The 14275-nt window shown below is 58.8% G+C and overlaps 1 protein-coding gene across 22 annotated transcripts, besides 1 other annotated feature; it reads right to left on the bottom strand.

Moving 5' to 3' along the window:
* ENGASE (endo-beta-N-acetylglucosaminidase) lies at positions 362–14137 on the bottom strand. Of its 22 annotated transcripts, none has more exons than XR_934535.2 (16): positions 13871–14137; positions 11464–11531; positions 11097–11298; positions 9324–9472; positions 8597–8754; positions 7888–8036; positions 6898–7063; positions 5838–5941; positions 5371–5479; positions 5010–5200; positions 4275–4423; positions 3619–3727; positions 3227–3341; positions 1778–3028; positions 1596–1653; positions 362–1515 (listed from the first exon to the last, which is right to left on the bottom strand). XR_934535.2 is itself a non-coding variant. In NM_001396054.1 (15 exons), the coding sequence occupies exons 1-15, from the start codon at positions 14014–14016 to the stop codon at positions 2612–2614; spliced, it is 2421 nt and encodes an 806-aa protein (NP_001382983.1). In that variant the 5' UTR covers positions 14017–14137; the 3' UTR covers positions 362–2611. The 22 variants fall into 22 exon arrangements, 10 of the variants coding, with proteins under 10 accessions (NP_001382983.1, NP_001036038.1, NP_001382984.1 ...); XR_934536.2 differs by having other exon boundaries at positions 362–1210; XR_007065430.1 differs by having other exon boundaries at positions 1778–3341.
* Positions 13736–14275: a silencer, noted in NCBI's record as "silent region_9079". NCBI's record gives its function as "represses an Ori minimal core promoter by ATAC-STARR-seq in GM12878 lymphoblastoid cells {active_cell/tissue: GM12878}" and the evidence as "EXISTENCE:reporter gene assay evidence [ECO:0000049][PMID:35858748]".

Below are 14275 nucleotides of genomic sequence, written 5' to 3'. Positions count from 1 at the left end.
CCAGTGCAACAAAGAGCACGGAGCTGGGAGGGTGGGGGGACATGGCACAGAGGCATAGATGGCTGGTGCTCCAGCCAGTTCTGCACGCCTGGTGTAGCCTGAGTTGTTGGGGCCCACAAGGAGCCATGTTGCTTCAAGGTAAACCCACTTCGCCAGCCCCAGTCACCCCTCCTGGAAGGTGGGTAGGAGCTAGAGCACAGCTGCAAAGGCTCAGCTGAGCGGGGAGATGGGAAGACGAGTGGCAGAACCTGAACCCAGAGCTCAGAAGCCTGGGGCTGGGGCCAGGGCTGGACAGGGAGCCAGCATCCAGGGCCGGGCTGGTGCTGCCCGCGCCCCATCACACCAGGACTCGACTGCACGCTTCACATTGTCAGATCATTTATTTCAGCGCAGTTACACCCAGCAGAGGGGCACAGGCTTAAACGCCGGCATATTAGTTTTCCCGCACGCGAGCCCTGCATGGCGGTGGGCTGGGGAGCCGGGGCGGTGCGATTCTGCCACACGCCACGCTCTACTAGGCCCCCTTACTCCTAATTAATTGCCTGCTCACCAGACTGTGAGAAAATAATTGCCACTATAAATTTTCCCTCCTCTGCATAAAATATTCGGGGGAACCAGCACTTAAAAAACAGACTTCATGAAAGAAGGGCAGCAAGGCGTGGATGCTGCGCCCCCCACAACCCCCACTGCAGAGGACACAGAGAGGCCAGGAGCCCCTTCCTGGTTCCCCCTGGTTCCAAATGAGACAGAAAGGCTCAAAGAGCTCCCGGGAATGGTCACAGCTGAAAAAAAGTCGAGTGAGTGGCTACATGCGGCAGCCGCTTGTGTTCACCTGCCGTCCACCCAGGACAGTCCCCGGCAGCAGCTTGTGTTCACCTGCCCTCCACCCAGGACAGTCCCCGGGCTGGCTCCAGGCTGCAGGGGGTCAGCAGAGGGAGCCTCCTGCCCCATATCCTTGGCAAACTCACTTCTCCTTCTGGGACCACACAAGAGACATGGGAGAATGTTCCTAATTAGGCAAGAGCACAGAACCCCTAATCCCAGTCTCTGCTTGGCATGAGTACCCAGGCAGGCAAGGAAGATGGAGACAGGTGGATTTCAGCTCCTGGAAGGAGCCCCGGCTCAGAGTGGCTGCTGAGTACCCAGCCTTGCCCTCCTCTGACGTGGGAACGGGTGTGGCTGTGCTGCCACCTGGTGGCCTCTTCCCTCACTGCAGGGTGAAATGATGTGGATGCCAGCCCTTAGGTGTGGGCTCCAGCTGGGGTCACAGAGCATCCCAGCCCTCAGCACTGCCCGACATAGAGGGAACCCCTACCACTGGCCCTATGTGGCCTGGGGGTGAGAGACCCCCCCCCCAAAAGCGAGGGACTTCAGGCCACTGACACCGTGGAAGGACCACAACAGACCCCACCCCAGACCAGCCACAGGATGACCCAAGGCCGTGGGGTCCAGACACCACACCAGGAAGCCTCCCAGGCAGCCCAGGTGTAGCAGAGGCTGTGCAGCTGCAGCGGCCTGGGCAGAGAAGAAAGAGCAGGAAGGACAGAGGAAGGCGCCTGTGGTGAAGACCCTGCCTCCCTCACGCCCCCACGCACCTGTGCTGACTGCTGCTCAAGGGGTCAGCCTGGAGGTCTTCCCGGTGCTTGGACGAGGCTGAGAAGGGAGGACGTGAAGGAACAGAGTAGCTGGAAAAGCCCCCGCGGGTCCTGCAGCTCCTGCACTCAGGCTGGGGCTGGGCTGGCGCGGGGGGCAGGTGCTGCTTCCTGCCTGGACTGACCTGCTACCCCAGCCTGAAGGGCGGCTTGTCCAGAGCCCACGGCCTCTCGCTGGGCAGAGGCAGGGCCACAGCGCAGACTGCCTCAGAGCCACTTCCCTGCATGCCCACAGCCCGGAAGAGACGCCGCAGAGCCAGGGGCTGCTGAAAACGCTCCGGAGATGACCTCACACTCAGCAGCACAGTAAATTGCCAACGCCAGGAAACACGGAGCAGCTGGGGCTGGCCCACGTGGAGGCACGAAGCCAGCGCCGGCTGGCCCAGAATGCCCACTCCTCAGGGAAAAGGGCCTTCCACACTGGGAGGACGGTTCTCCAGGGCATCCTCTCCCGCCATCCCGCAGGCAGCCCCACCCCAGGAGCTGCTGTAGCTCGTCCTCATGCTCAGAAATGTCTCGGCGCCTGCTCCAAAGCCTACCTGCCACAATCTAAGACCCTTTCTAATAGTTTCATCTGCAGGAAAGAAAATCATCATTCTCGGCATCAGCATCTTGCAGCCTATTAGGAAATATCCTTTATGGAATGTTCTGTTCTCAACTTCTCCCCTCCTTTCATTTTCACCTGGGAACCAGGTACCGTGGGGAGGGACAAGGCAGAAACAGAAAGCCCGCCACTCGCCTCGCAGTGACCAACGCTGCGATCCCACTGCTTGGTTTCCTGTTTCCATCGCCCCCCACCAGAAAGCCACAGCACTCAGCCCGGGGTCTCCCACCCCAGCCCCGGGACCGGGACCTCGCTGCCACTGTGGGCACTTAGCAGGTCCAGCGCAGGCCAGGGGCAGACAGCCGGGAAGAGGCCTCAGCCCGAGGCCAGGAGACCACCCGGCCTTAGCATCCGCTCATGCAGGGGCTGAATAAAGCAGAACTGCCCTGCCCCACTCGGCCTGAGGTACCCGGAACCCTTCCTTGGGGACAGGCTCCACCAGAAATTCCATGCGACGATCCTGGCCGGGCCCGGCGGCTTCCACCAGCAGGTCCACTATCCGGTACTGGGTGGCAAAAGCCAACCCCAGGAACATGGGCATCTCTGGCCTCGGCAGCTCCCTGCCCGGAGAGTCATCACTCATCCCTCCCCAGCAGTGGATTCGGAAGCAACGGACTTGTGAGAGGAGGAAGGACCAGTGCAGGGTGCAGCTGAGCTGGAGCAGAGCAGGGGGCCCCTCCCGCTCAGAGGCGGATGGCTGCCAGCGGATGTGAGAGATGGTGACGGCCTGCACCTGGGGCAGAGGGGCCAGCAGGCTGGCAGCGTCCACCACCTGGCAGGAGAGAAGGCTCAGCACGGCTGGACGCCCGGGGGCGGGGAGAGGGTGCCCCCACGCACACATTTCCCCTCCCTGACTCCTCCACCCCAGTTCCCCGCTGAACCCAAGAAGGGGGCGGCCTGGGGCGGCCTCCACCCCCACTCCAGCTGGACAAACAGCCAGCCCAGCCCGAGCCCCTCTGGGAAGCATCACCTGGATCTCTCCAAGCCGACAGGTGAAGCTCTCCTCCTCCCGACTACCCGGCGGCCGTGAGAAGCAAACGAGGAGGTCTAGCAGCAGGCACCCACGCAGGCTCACCTCGTAGCAGCTACGGGGCGAAAGGGCTGATCACTGGCCGGGCTCAGCCCAGAGGCTCCAGGGTGAGCCGTCCAGAGGCCCCAAGCCACAGCAGAAGGGAGATGCATCCCAGGGTCATGGGGGACCCCAGGCCGACAGCAGGGCTCCCAGCAGCTGTCCTGGGCTTCTGTCTCAGAGCTGCCCAAAACCTGGGGGCCAGCCCAGGGCCCCTCCATCCCTCCAGCTCTGGGGTTTCCCAACAGAGACTTGAGTGAGGGAGAAGGACGTGAAGAAGCAGAGGGACTTACTGCTGGACCCAGCCCCCACTCAGCTGCCGGCCGCAGCGGCCCACCCATCTGGCCAGCTTGGTGGGGGGCACCCGGAGGGGTCGGAGGCTGTGTCTTGAGCTTGTTTCTGCTGCAGAAGGAGACACGGAACTTGAAAAAGGAGAATCTCAAAGGAAAAGGCACTGAGAAGGACCACCAAGGGCGCCCCAGGAGTCCAGAGAAGGCTGCCTGATTCGGCCAGACGCTCGCGGGTCCCAAGAAGCAACCAGCAAGGACTCCGGAGGAGCTCGGTGAAGGAAATGCGTGTCTGGGGTCAGCCGCGCCCTCACTCGTCCTGGCGCCCTCCAGCCTGCCGTCTCCCCCACCCCATTTGCTCGCCCCTCTCCACGCCACGGCCAGCAGCAAGGCTGTGCAGCTCAGGTCTCTGGGAGGGGCCCATGTCCACCCTGCACAGGAGCCTCAGCTGCCCGACGAGGACACAGGACAGAGGCTGTGGCTGAGAAGTGAATCCTCCCTGTCCAGGCCTTGACCACAAGCTGCCCTGACTCCGGCAAAGGCAGGATGTACCCCCCCACTGTCCACACCAGCTCCTCCCCACACCCCAGGAGCCTCTCCACACTTCTCTTCCCTGAGCTCTCCGCCCTGGGCAGAGGCAGGCCTGGGCCCCATTACCTCACCGTTCAACACTGAGATGCCACCGATGTGGCAGCTGCCGGCATCCCCTGTGGTCAGCTCCAAAGCAACTGTGACGTCCGTGGGCCCCTCAAGCTTATACACCATGGACAGGTAAATCTTGGGTGGCACTGGGGCCTGCAGGGAAAATAACCTGGGGAAAAAGGTCCTGTGATGGGTGCCGTGGAGAGACCACTGAGAAATCGAAGCCAGCTCCAAATCGCGTCCACCAGCCCCTCCCTCCAGGAACAGGGGGCCTGGGTGCCAAATGCTCCCACATCGTGGTCCTGTCCGTAGCCAGGGGACAAGTCCTCCCCCAAGGCCAGATTCTTTTGTGGGCTGAAACATCTCAGTTCTGAAATACCGTATGGGATTCCCTCATATGGGGCATCTAAAGTATCCAAACTCACAGATGCAGAGTAAAGGGGTGGCTTTGGGGGGCTGGGGGAGGATGGGGGGCTAATGTGCAATGGGGAGAGTCCAGTCCTACAAGATGACACAGTTCTAGGGATCTGTCACGTAGCAACGTACGCAGAGTTAACACTCCTGTACCGTTCACTTCAACAGGGTCAAGATGGTGAATTTCACGTTAATGCATTTTTGATCACAATTTTAAAAAACCCATCTGGGTCTGTCCTCTGTCCTTGTTCTGGCCTCCACTGCCCCATCTGTCCAGTTCCATGGCCACCACGTGTGATGGGAGAAGCTGGTGGGCCCACCGTCCTCCGTCACTCACCCACCTCACAGCCACATTTCCAACCTCCGGTGGGATCACACCCCGGACGAGCAGGGAGCTGCCTCCGTGCCAGGCATCCTCCAGGCAGCAGTGCGTCCTCACCCAGCCCCGGCCATCCCCTCCCAGCCTGTGTTCTCCAAACAAGGGCTGGATCTCCTGGGCGCTCAGGTGGTACCAGGGCCCTACCGCCTCTTCCTGAAGAAAAGGGCAGAACAGGGGCACTCAGCAGAGGCCAACAGAGCAGGGGTGCCCGGAGCGGCAGGGAAGGGTAAGACCACCACCGTGCCTGCTGGCAAGTCCCAGGCTCCTCCCACCTGTCCCAGCTGAGGCCAGAGGACAGACACGGAGGGAAGACACCCACCCACCTGGCCATAGCAGACCCTCCGTGCACCCATGCCCAGGCAGAAGGACGTGACGAAAGGCAAGGAGCAGATGCTATGTGTGGGCAGATAACGCTCCAGTCGGCCCCAGAACCTGCCAGAGACATGGGGGCAACAGCTCGGTCCGGAGGAAGGGAGGGAGCCTCTCAGTGTCCCTCAAACTTGCTGGTGGAAACTCGAGGCTCTCCTGCACCCTCCAAGACAGGACTTCCAGGAGGACTGCAGCCTCCCCGTCTACAGATACGCTGCAAACACGAGTCTGCAGGAAGCGGCCGCTGGGTTTGGTCCCTGCCCGGAAGCAGCCAGGGTGCTGGCTTCCTCCCCTGTCATCCTCCCTTAACCACCCCCCCATAGGAAGGGTCACTAAAGAGCACAAACGTGTCCTATCAGAGACACCAGAAACCCCTCCCTCCCATCAGCCTGCACTAAGCACCCAGGACAGCAGGACTCACTTGTCCTGGTTCTGGAAGAAATCCTTCTTCTCCAGACACTCATACACCCAGCCGGGGGCAAACAAAGCCACGGAGAAGCCATGCTTTCGGATCAGCTCCAACGACTGAAGAGACAGAGGGAGACGCTGGGCACATCAGGACCAGAGTCCAGACAGGCTCCTGGACGCCAGTGACGTGGGTTGGGGCTCTCAGGGCAGCTCAGAAACGGGAGGGGGAAGCTGTCCAACCCCTCCCTCCTAGATGCACCTGGAGGCTGCTGGGCATCACCCCCGTCGTTCCACAAGCCCGCCAGAAGAGGGCGCGGGAGAGGCGGTCAGCGCTGCTGCAAGGGCAGGGGGGCAGGGGCTGGGCCCCAACTGGCTGTGGCTGCGCGGTCCCATTGTCCTCTGGCACACCTCTCATTCGATTATCAGAATCACGGGCAGTAAAGAGGCTCTTTAGTTATTGGATTAATTTACTCATTTAAAGCTAAATTAAGGGCTGAGAACATCCCTGGGGCTCTGGGAACGGGCAGGACTGATAGACCAGAGGCAGGCAGAGCCCTGCGCATCCCACGCCAGGGGCACCGGCCTGGCCCCGCTCCTTCCTCTGTGCTGGTGTGACCTGCCTTGCCAGAAAATGCTCCCTCGTCATGACACCTACCGATCCCCAAACCCTGGGCACCTCCCCCGTCCTCGCCCCTGAGCCGCAGTGAGAGGCGCTGCAGGCCCCTGTGCGTCCCCGCAGGCTTCCCTCACGGGGAAGATCAAGGAACGCAGCTGGGACAGGAGGCCCAGGCCCGCCGAGGACCGGACAGCGGGGGAACGACGCGCCTCTGTCTGGTAACACCCACACAAAAATACATTATCTGATTGTAGAAATAGCCGGGAAAGGGGTTTCAGTGGGGACATAGCTTGGCCGGGGCAGGACACCTGTTTCTCAGTGCCACGGGATCCCCACTCTGGGAAGAACAGCTGCTGTCATTCCTTTGAGGTGCAGACGGGAATGGAAGGTCCATGAGGAAATGAGGTCCCAGGGGAGGCACTGGGCCGCTGGCCCTTGGACGAAAGCCACCACCCACCTTGTCTGTGTCGAATCGGCCTCCGACCACGTTCCCTCGAGCAAACACATCCACGCCCACGTACACATCAGCCCGGCGCTCCCCAGCCTGCCCCAGCATCCGCTCCAAGTGCTCCTCCCGCCAGTTATAGTTAGTGAAGAAGCCGTCGCAGGAATCAAAGAAGACCCTGAGAAGCAACAAGGACCTGCTGTGAGGCCCAGGCCCAGAAGGATGGGGCCACCCCCACCAACCCTGCAGTCTCAGCCTTTCCCCTCCTAGTACTCAGAGGGATGGGCCCACCCCACCCCACCCCACCCCACCCCACCCCACCCCACACAGCCTCAGCCTTTCCCCTCCTAGAGCCCAGAGGGACAGGGCCACCCCCTCCACCTGCACAATCTCAGCCTTTCCCCTCCTAGATCTCAGAGGCACCTGCAACTCACAGGCTGGGAGCTGCCTCCAGGACCTAGGATATGGCCTGTTCCCCAGGGGCAGCGAGCAGCCCAGATGGTGACCTGAAACCCTCGCCCAGCATCCATGGTGTCTGCTGAGGCTCAGGATGTTAAGAGAACTCTGCCTTTTTGAGACAGAGTCTCGCTCTGTCGCTCAGGCTGGAGTGCAGTGGCACGATCTTGGCTCACTGCAAGCTCCGCCTCCCAGGTTCACGCCATTCTCCTGCCTCAGCCTCCCGAGTAGCTGGGGCTACAGGTGCCCACCACCATGCCCAGCTAATTTTTTGTATTTTCAGTAGAGACGGAGTTTCACCGTGTTAGCCAGGATGGTCTCAACTTCCTGACCTCTTGATCTGCCCACCTCGGCGTCCCAAAGTGCTGGGATTACAGACATGAGCCACTGCGCCTGGCCCACCTTCTCCCTCTTTTTACCCAATGCAGTCATATATGCATCACCTCCATGAGGGAGACTGCGCCCGCCCCTTGCGGCACCCACCCCTCACAGTACCCGCCCCCACCACGGCACCTGCCCCCTCACAGCACCTGTCTGCAGGCTCACCTGTTGTGCTGGTTGAGTTCGTCTTGCCATTTGAGCTGCCCACTTTGCACCACGCTGTCATACCAGAGCACCAGGCCCCCTGGGACCTGCCGGTGCAGCTGTGTGGTGAGGTACCGCAGGAAAGGAGGCATGTTCCCCACAGCGGCCAGCTGAAAGAGAAGAACAAGGTGAGAGCCTCAGTGAGCCCCAGATCTATCTATCATGAGAAGTATCCAGCGCTGGACAGACAGGGGGATGCAGAGCAAACAGACCCACAGGCGAAGCTGCAGTTCTGAAAGGCCCTCCCCGCCACAGCCCCGCAAGTGGAGTCCAGCCAAACAGACGACCGTCCTTTCTTATTGCGGCAAGAAGGACATGAACACAGAAGTCAGGAAAAGACAGAGTGCACCGAAAGGGGAGGATGCCCTGAGAAGGAAGCCACACACCCAGCCCAGAGCAGAGCGCGGAAAAGGAAAGGTGTGCTCACAGGCAGGGGCGGGAAACGTGGGAGCCGGCCAAGCACGCTTGCTGGAAACAGTCGGAGGAGATTCTGTCTCACTGCGTGTAACTAAGATTTCAGAGTTGGCACTGCCTGGGAGGCGAGAAGTGGCTCTTACTGCTGCAACCTGCAGCCCAGGCGTGGGGCGAGGTGAGGCCAAGGCAGGAAAGAGGTGGAGGTGGGCGGCAACACAGCAAGGGGCGGGGAGGTGGGTGAGGGCTGGGCACTCACACTCAGCGAGTTCTCGATGTTGATCAGCCAGCCATCAAAACGAAAAAACTGAGTGATCTGGACCAGCCGGTCAGCCACTGCCTGGTACGAGCGCTCATCCCCGGCCAGGAAGGCTTCACAGAGCCTTCCCCCTTCATTCCACTCCGTGATGAAAGTCCCTGTGAGGATAGGAGAGAAACAAGGTCAGCCACGGGAATCACTTTCCCTCCACCCACAGTTTTCAAAGCGAGGTTCTCGAACCAGCAGCTTCAGTATCACCTGACCACTTGGTAGACATTCAAATCCCCATATATCCCGTGAATCAGACACTCTGCCAGTGCAGACCAGCAGTCCTGGTGACGGAAGCCCATCAACGATCGGGATTGAGGCTAAAGCTGAGAAGCATTGTTCTGACCCAGGAATCGGCAAACCGTGGCCCTTGGGCCGATGCCCACTACTACCTGTGTTTGTAAAATGCAATTTTACTGGAACACGGCCCTGCCTATTTGTGTACCTGCCATCACTCCAATAATCACCACAGTGACCCAGTGGTCTGAAATCATGAAAATACTATCTGGTCCTTTCCAGAAAAAGCCTGCAGCTGCCTGTCCTAGCCGACCAAGGCGGCCCCCAGCGAGGGGCTCTGGGCACTGAGAAGCAGGCAAAGCCCGTGCCTCCTAATCACGGGGTCCCCTGGCTGGTGAGCTGAGGAGTCTGGCTGACACAGAGGTGAGTCCTTGGCTCTTACCCAGCACGCAGACCCCATGCCTGTGGGCAGTGTTGGTCCAGCCCACTGGGGGAATGGTGACGGTGTGGTGGCTGAAGTACACAAAGACGTCGATGCACTGCCAGTGGTAGAAAGCATAGGGAGTCTGCACCACCGAGCCCTGAATGAACCTGGGGAAAGAAACAGAACAGGGCTGGCCACGGCAGCTCATGCCTTTATTCCCAGCACTTTGGCAGGCCAAGGCAGGTGGATCACTTGAGCCCAGGAGTTTAAGACCAGCCTGGGCAACATGGCAAAACCCCATCTCTCCCCACAAAAACTGGAAAAATTAGCCAGGTGTGGTGGTGCACACCTGTAGTCCCAGCTACTTGGGAGGCTGAAGTGGGAGAGTTGCTTGAGCCTGGGAGGTCAAGGCTGGAGAGAGCCCAGATTGTACCACTGTACTCCAGCCTGGGTGACAGAGTAAGACCCTGTCTCAAAATACAGAAAAAAAGAAACAGAGTCAGGTCCCAGGAAGCAGAATAAGGACACGGAGACCGCAGGGTGTCCCCAAAGGTTTCTCTTTAGTTCCATTCAGTCAAGACTCCCTGGAAGCCTGCTGTGTCCAGGCAAGGTGCAGGCAGGGAGAGAGGCAGGAACCAGCTGCCACTCCTGTAGCCACAGGCAGAGTGCTCTGACCGGGGCATCAGGCATCTGCCATTGCATCTAATGGACCGAGCACTGCTACCCCCTGTGAGCCAATGAACAAGGGAGAGAAAGGAGGGGAAGCAGGAAGTCTCGTGTCAAAGTCCCGTCTCTGGCTTCCCACTCTATTTGGAGGGGTAGGCAGTCCCTCAGAACAGAGTCTCCCGGAACTCGAAGGTCGGGGTTGAAAGCCCTGTGAGCTGCGCCCAAGGTTTCACCACCTGCTTCTATCTCTACCTTGATGGTTGGCTCTGACTCAAGCCTTCCCATCAATCACAGGGTCCAAGATTGTTTTATGGACATTTAAAAGCGCCGCGCGGACTCCACGGCAACTTTGGATGGGACGTCTGCACCTGGGGTGGGTGGGGCATGTAACATCTCTGTGCATGAAAGCCAGAGCCCAGCGACCCAGAACAGGATCAGAGCTTAAGGGAAGAAGGTGACGAACACCAAACCACGTGAGGGGGTGAGGCTGCGGACAGGCAGCCGAAGAGGACCCCCTGCCTGCTGTGCTCCCTCCAATCTACTACCAGCCTTCAAGTTGAGGAGGTTCAAGGAGTCAAATGATTCTAGAGCTGAAAGGGACATAAGACACTGCCTAATCCAACCTTCCTTTTTTTATTTTTTATTTTTTTGAGACAGAGTCTCACTCTGTTGCCCAGGCTGGAGTGCAGTAGTGCAATCTTGGCTCACTGCAATCTCTGCCTCCCTGGTTCAAGCGATTCTCCTGCATTAGCCCCCTAAGTAGCTGGGATTACAGGCACCTGCCACCATGCCTGGCTAATTTTTCTATTTTTAGTAGGGGCAGAGTTTCGCCATGTTGGCCAGGCTGGTCTCAAACTCCTGAGGTCAGGTGACCCACCTGCCTTGACCTCCCAAAGTGCTGGGATTATAGGTGTGAGCCACCAAGCCCAGCCCAGTCTTCCCTTTTTACAGATGAAACACTGGGGCCTGCCTTCTTCTCGCAGTTAGTGCCATCCCTCCAATGCCCGTCTCCTGACTCCCCGCCCAGTGCTCTTTCTACACATGGCACTCTCTCCCGCCCCTCCAGCCCCCACCCCAGCAAAGGAGAACAATGTAAGCAACATCAATGTAAGGCCAGGTCCTCACCTGTCATCCAGGTACCCGCCCATCATGTCATGACACAACAAAGTCCGGGGCCTCTGGCTGCTCAGAGGGGGCTGGCGACACGCCAGGGGCTCCAGGGCCACATTAAAGCCATCCTCCAAGCGGGGCTTCCACGCCAAGAGCTCCTCCAGCGAAGACAAGTAAAAGCTGATTGGTTTGGTGGTGTCCTTGTCATAATATCTAACTGGTCCGAGGACAGAAACATTGAGCAATTAATGGAAACTATTATAGGATTAATCGAAACATTTTAACAATAACAGAGAAGGAACATGAGAGGGGGCAGGGGCTGACCTGCCCCAAAGCCCCAGGTGTGAAGGTGGATCGGTATTCAGAGCCTCTGTCTCCTCACCTGGCAGGGGGTCCGGGGAAAAACTGACCACCTCTCGAAAGACTGTCTCTTCTTCTTCATCTTTGATGCTAAGCAAAGAGGGAGTTGTACATTTATAAATAAAAACATAAATAGGTAAGAACACTTAGAAGCAAATGGACCAGTTTCATCTAAACACAGAGAGATATTCTCTGCCTTATGTTGTTTAATATTAACTATAGAAACATTGTATAAAGCAAGGAAGTGCCCTGTGATAATCCTAAGGTTTTACCTATATTAGCAACCAGGGCTTGGCTTCCACATGGACACACGTACCAATGATTACTCCTAAGAATAAACCTTACCCTAGGCCAGACGCAGTGGTTCACGCCTGTAATCCCAACACTTTGGGAAGCCAAGGCAGGCGAATCACCTGAGGTCAGGAGTTAAAGACCAGCCTGGCCAACATGGCAAAACCCCATCTCTACTAATACAAAAATTAGCTGGGCATGGTGGCACACGCCTGTAATCCCAGCACCTTGGGAGGCTGAGGCAGGGAGAATCACTTGAACCTGGGAGGCGAAGGTTGCAGTGAGCCGGGACTGTGCCACTACACTCCAACTTGGGCAACAGAACGAGACTCCATCTCAAAAAAATAAATAAATAGAATAAACCTTACCCTCTAAAGCAGCCACCCCAATACCACAAAGACCAGACATAAATACTTCACAGGGTCCCCAGGATTTTCTATGGCCAAGGGGCAATATCCAAATACCCAAAGCACCAGAAAGTTTCAGGTCCTAAGAGAGCAGAGACCAGGCTTCCTCTATAGGCCACACTTCCCTAAGTGCCTTCCGCGCTGTTCATGGATGTATGTTACAGGGAGAAAGAGTTCCTTCGTTCCTTCGGTACATTAACATGGAAAGCTCCTAAATACATCTCAAACCACTTTCTTTTAAAAATTGATTGATTAATTGAGACAGAGTCTCGCTCTGTCGCCCAGGCTGGAGTAAGGTGGTGAAATCTCAGCTCACTGCAACCTCCAGTTCCTGGGTTCAAGTGAGTCTCCTGCCTCAGCCTCCCAAGTAGCTGGGATTACAGGCATCTGCCACCACGCCTGACTAATTTTGTACTTTTAGTAGAGACTGAGTTTCACCATGTTGGCCAGGCTGGTCTCAAACTCCCGAACTCAGGTGATCACACGCCTCAGCCTCCCAAGTGCTGAGATTACAGGCATAAGCCACCATGCCTGGCCTAAAAAATCATTATTATTTTAGGAGCAGTAAGAAGACACCGCAGTGGCTATTTAGAGGCCATGGCACCAACGTTGAGATTCCCTAAATCTACCAACGCCCAAGGCCACTTCTTTGTTCACTGAGTTGTCATCTGCCATCACTCCACTGCCATTCAGAGGCCTGTTGCAAAGAGTCCTCTGTAGCATCTGCCATCACCAAACACTGACCCAGGGCCTCCAGAATGACATTGGGAGACCCTGAGAACTGCAGGGGTCGGGGACGGATTCAAGCAGAGATGCCGCAGTTGTTCCTCTCCACCTTCCTTTTCCAAAGCCCCCTTCCTCGTTGATGTCCTTATTATACTTCAGCCACCCCCTCCCAGACCTTCTCAGAACAATCCCACACCAGGTCACCTTTGTCACCTGTCATTCCTCCACTAGGAGGGAAAGAGCCATCTCCACATTCCTCCTGTCCAAAAATATCTTTCCCAGCAGCCAGCCTTCATCCCATCTTCATGAGGTCTGAAATGCTCAGCAGTCTCACTGCTTTGGGTTTAGAAACAAAGCTACGGCTGCTGTTTCCGGAAGCCATGTCTGTGCTCCTAACTTCTCCCCCTGCAACCTACTGAGGGGGAGTTTACCGGGTGGGCAAGTGCCCCCCAAAGGAAGGAAGCCCAGCCCAGAGGGGCATGTTCGTCCCTTTCTGTCTCTGTGCTTTGGCCCTTTCTGTTCCCCGCCAGTTGGATACCCTACTCCCTATTCTCCACCTACTGAAGGCTTCCTCCTCCCCAAAGACTCAGTTCTAGTGTCACCCCTACAGAAGGCCACCCCTTCCACCAGCCGGCATCCACTGAGCCAGGCATGAGCACCGCCGCCGGGATCTTCCGCATAGACCAGCGACGTGGGAAGCAGGGGTCTGGCCGGGGCGTCGGGATTCCCGCTGGGCCCCGCGGCCACTCGGGTTTGCACCCGTATTTCTGAGATAGGCAGGGGTCACGCACGGGGGCCGGAGGCCGCTGCCCGGCAGTGGCGCGAGGACGGCGGGGCGGACCGGGGCGGAGGGGCGCTGCCACCCTCTGTCCCTTACTGTGCACGGAGCGGACACAGGCGCCGGCCCCCCGCCCCTCGGCGCGCCCGTGCCGGGAAACCTCGGGCCCCGGGGCCACGGACTCTCAGCCCCGCGGATCGGGGTTCACGCGGGCCCCGCAGCCCCACCTCCTTCCCGGCCGCCGCCGCCGCGGCCGCGGCTCCTGATCCTCCTGCTCCTCCTGCGTCCCCGCCTCCGGGGCCGCCAGCCCCTGCAGCTGCCGCCGCCGCCGCCGTGTAGCCGACCGGGTGACCGTCACCGCCGCGGCCTCCATGACACTGTCCGCGCACGCCGAGAGGCAATCGCAGGCCCGGGCCCGCCCCCGCGCCGCGCTCGGCCAATGGGAAGTGCGCAGCGCTGACGCCGCGCTGGGACGGGACTCCGAGCTGACTCCCGGCCAGCGGCCGCGCGGCGGGGACTTTGTTGAGGCGACAGGCCGGGGGCGGGGCCGAGGACGGGGCGGGGCTGTGAGGGGCGGGGCCTGGGCGAGTTCCGAGCCCAGGGTTCGTCGTCGTTCTTGTTGTTGCCCATCA

Source organism: Homo sapiens, chromosome 17 (genome assembly GCF_000001405.40).
Source record: "Homo sapiens chromosome 17, GRCh38.p14 Primary Assembly".
Classification (NCBI taxonomy): Eukaryota; Metazoa; Chordata; class Mammalia; order Primates; family Hominidae; genus Homo; species Homo sapiens.
This window is presented reverse-complemented; position numbering and strand designations above follow the sequence as displayed.

Coding starts and splice junctions, on each gene's coding strand:
- ENGASE (NM_001396052.1), bottom strand. CDS start 14,016: ATGGAGGCCGCGGCGGTGACGGTCACCCGGTCGGCTACACGGCGGCGG. Junction 7,064..7,887: donor GAACTCAACCAGCACAACAG/GTGAGCCTGCAG, acceptor GTTGCTTCTCAG/GGTCTTCTTTGATTCCTGCG. Junction 5,201..5,370: donor GGAGGGTCTGCTATGGCCAG/GTGGGTGGGTGT, acceptor CCTTTTCTTCAG/GAAGAGGCGGTAGGGCCCTG.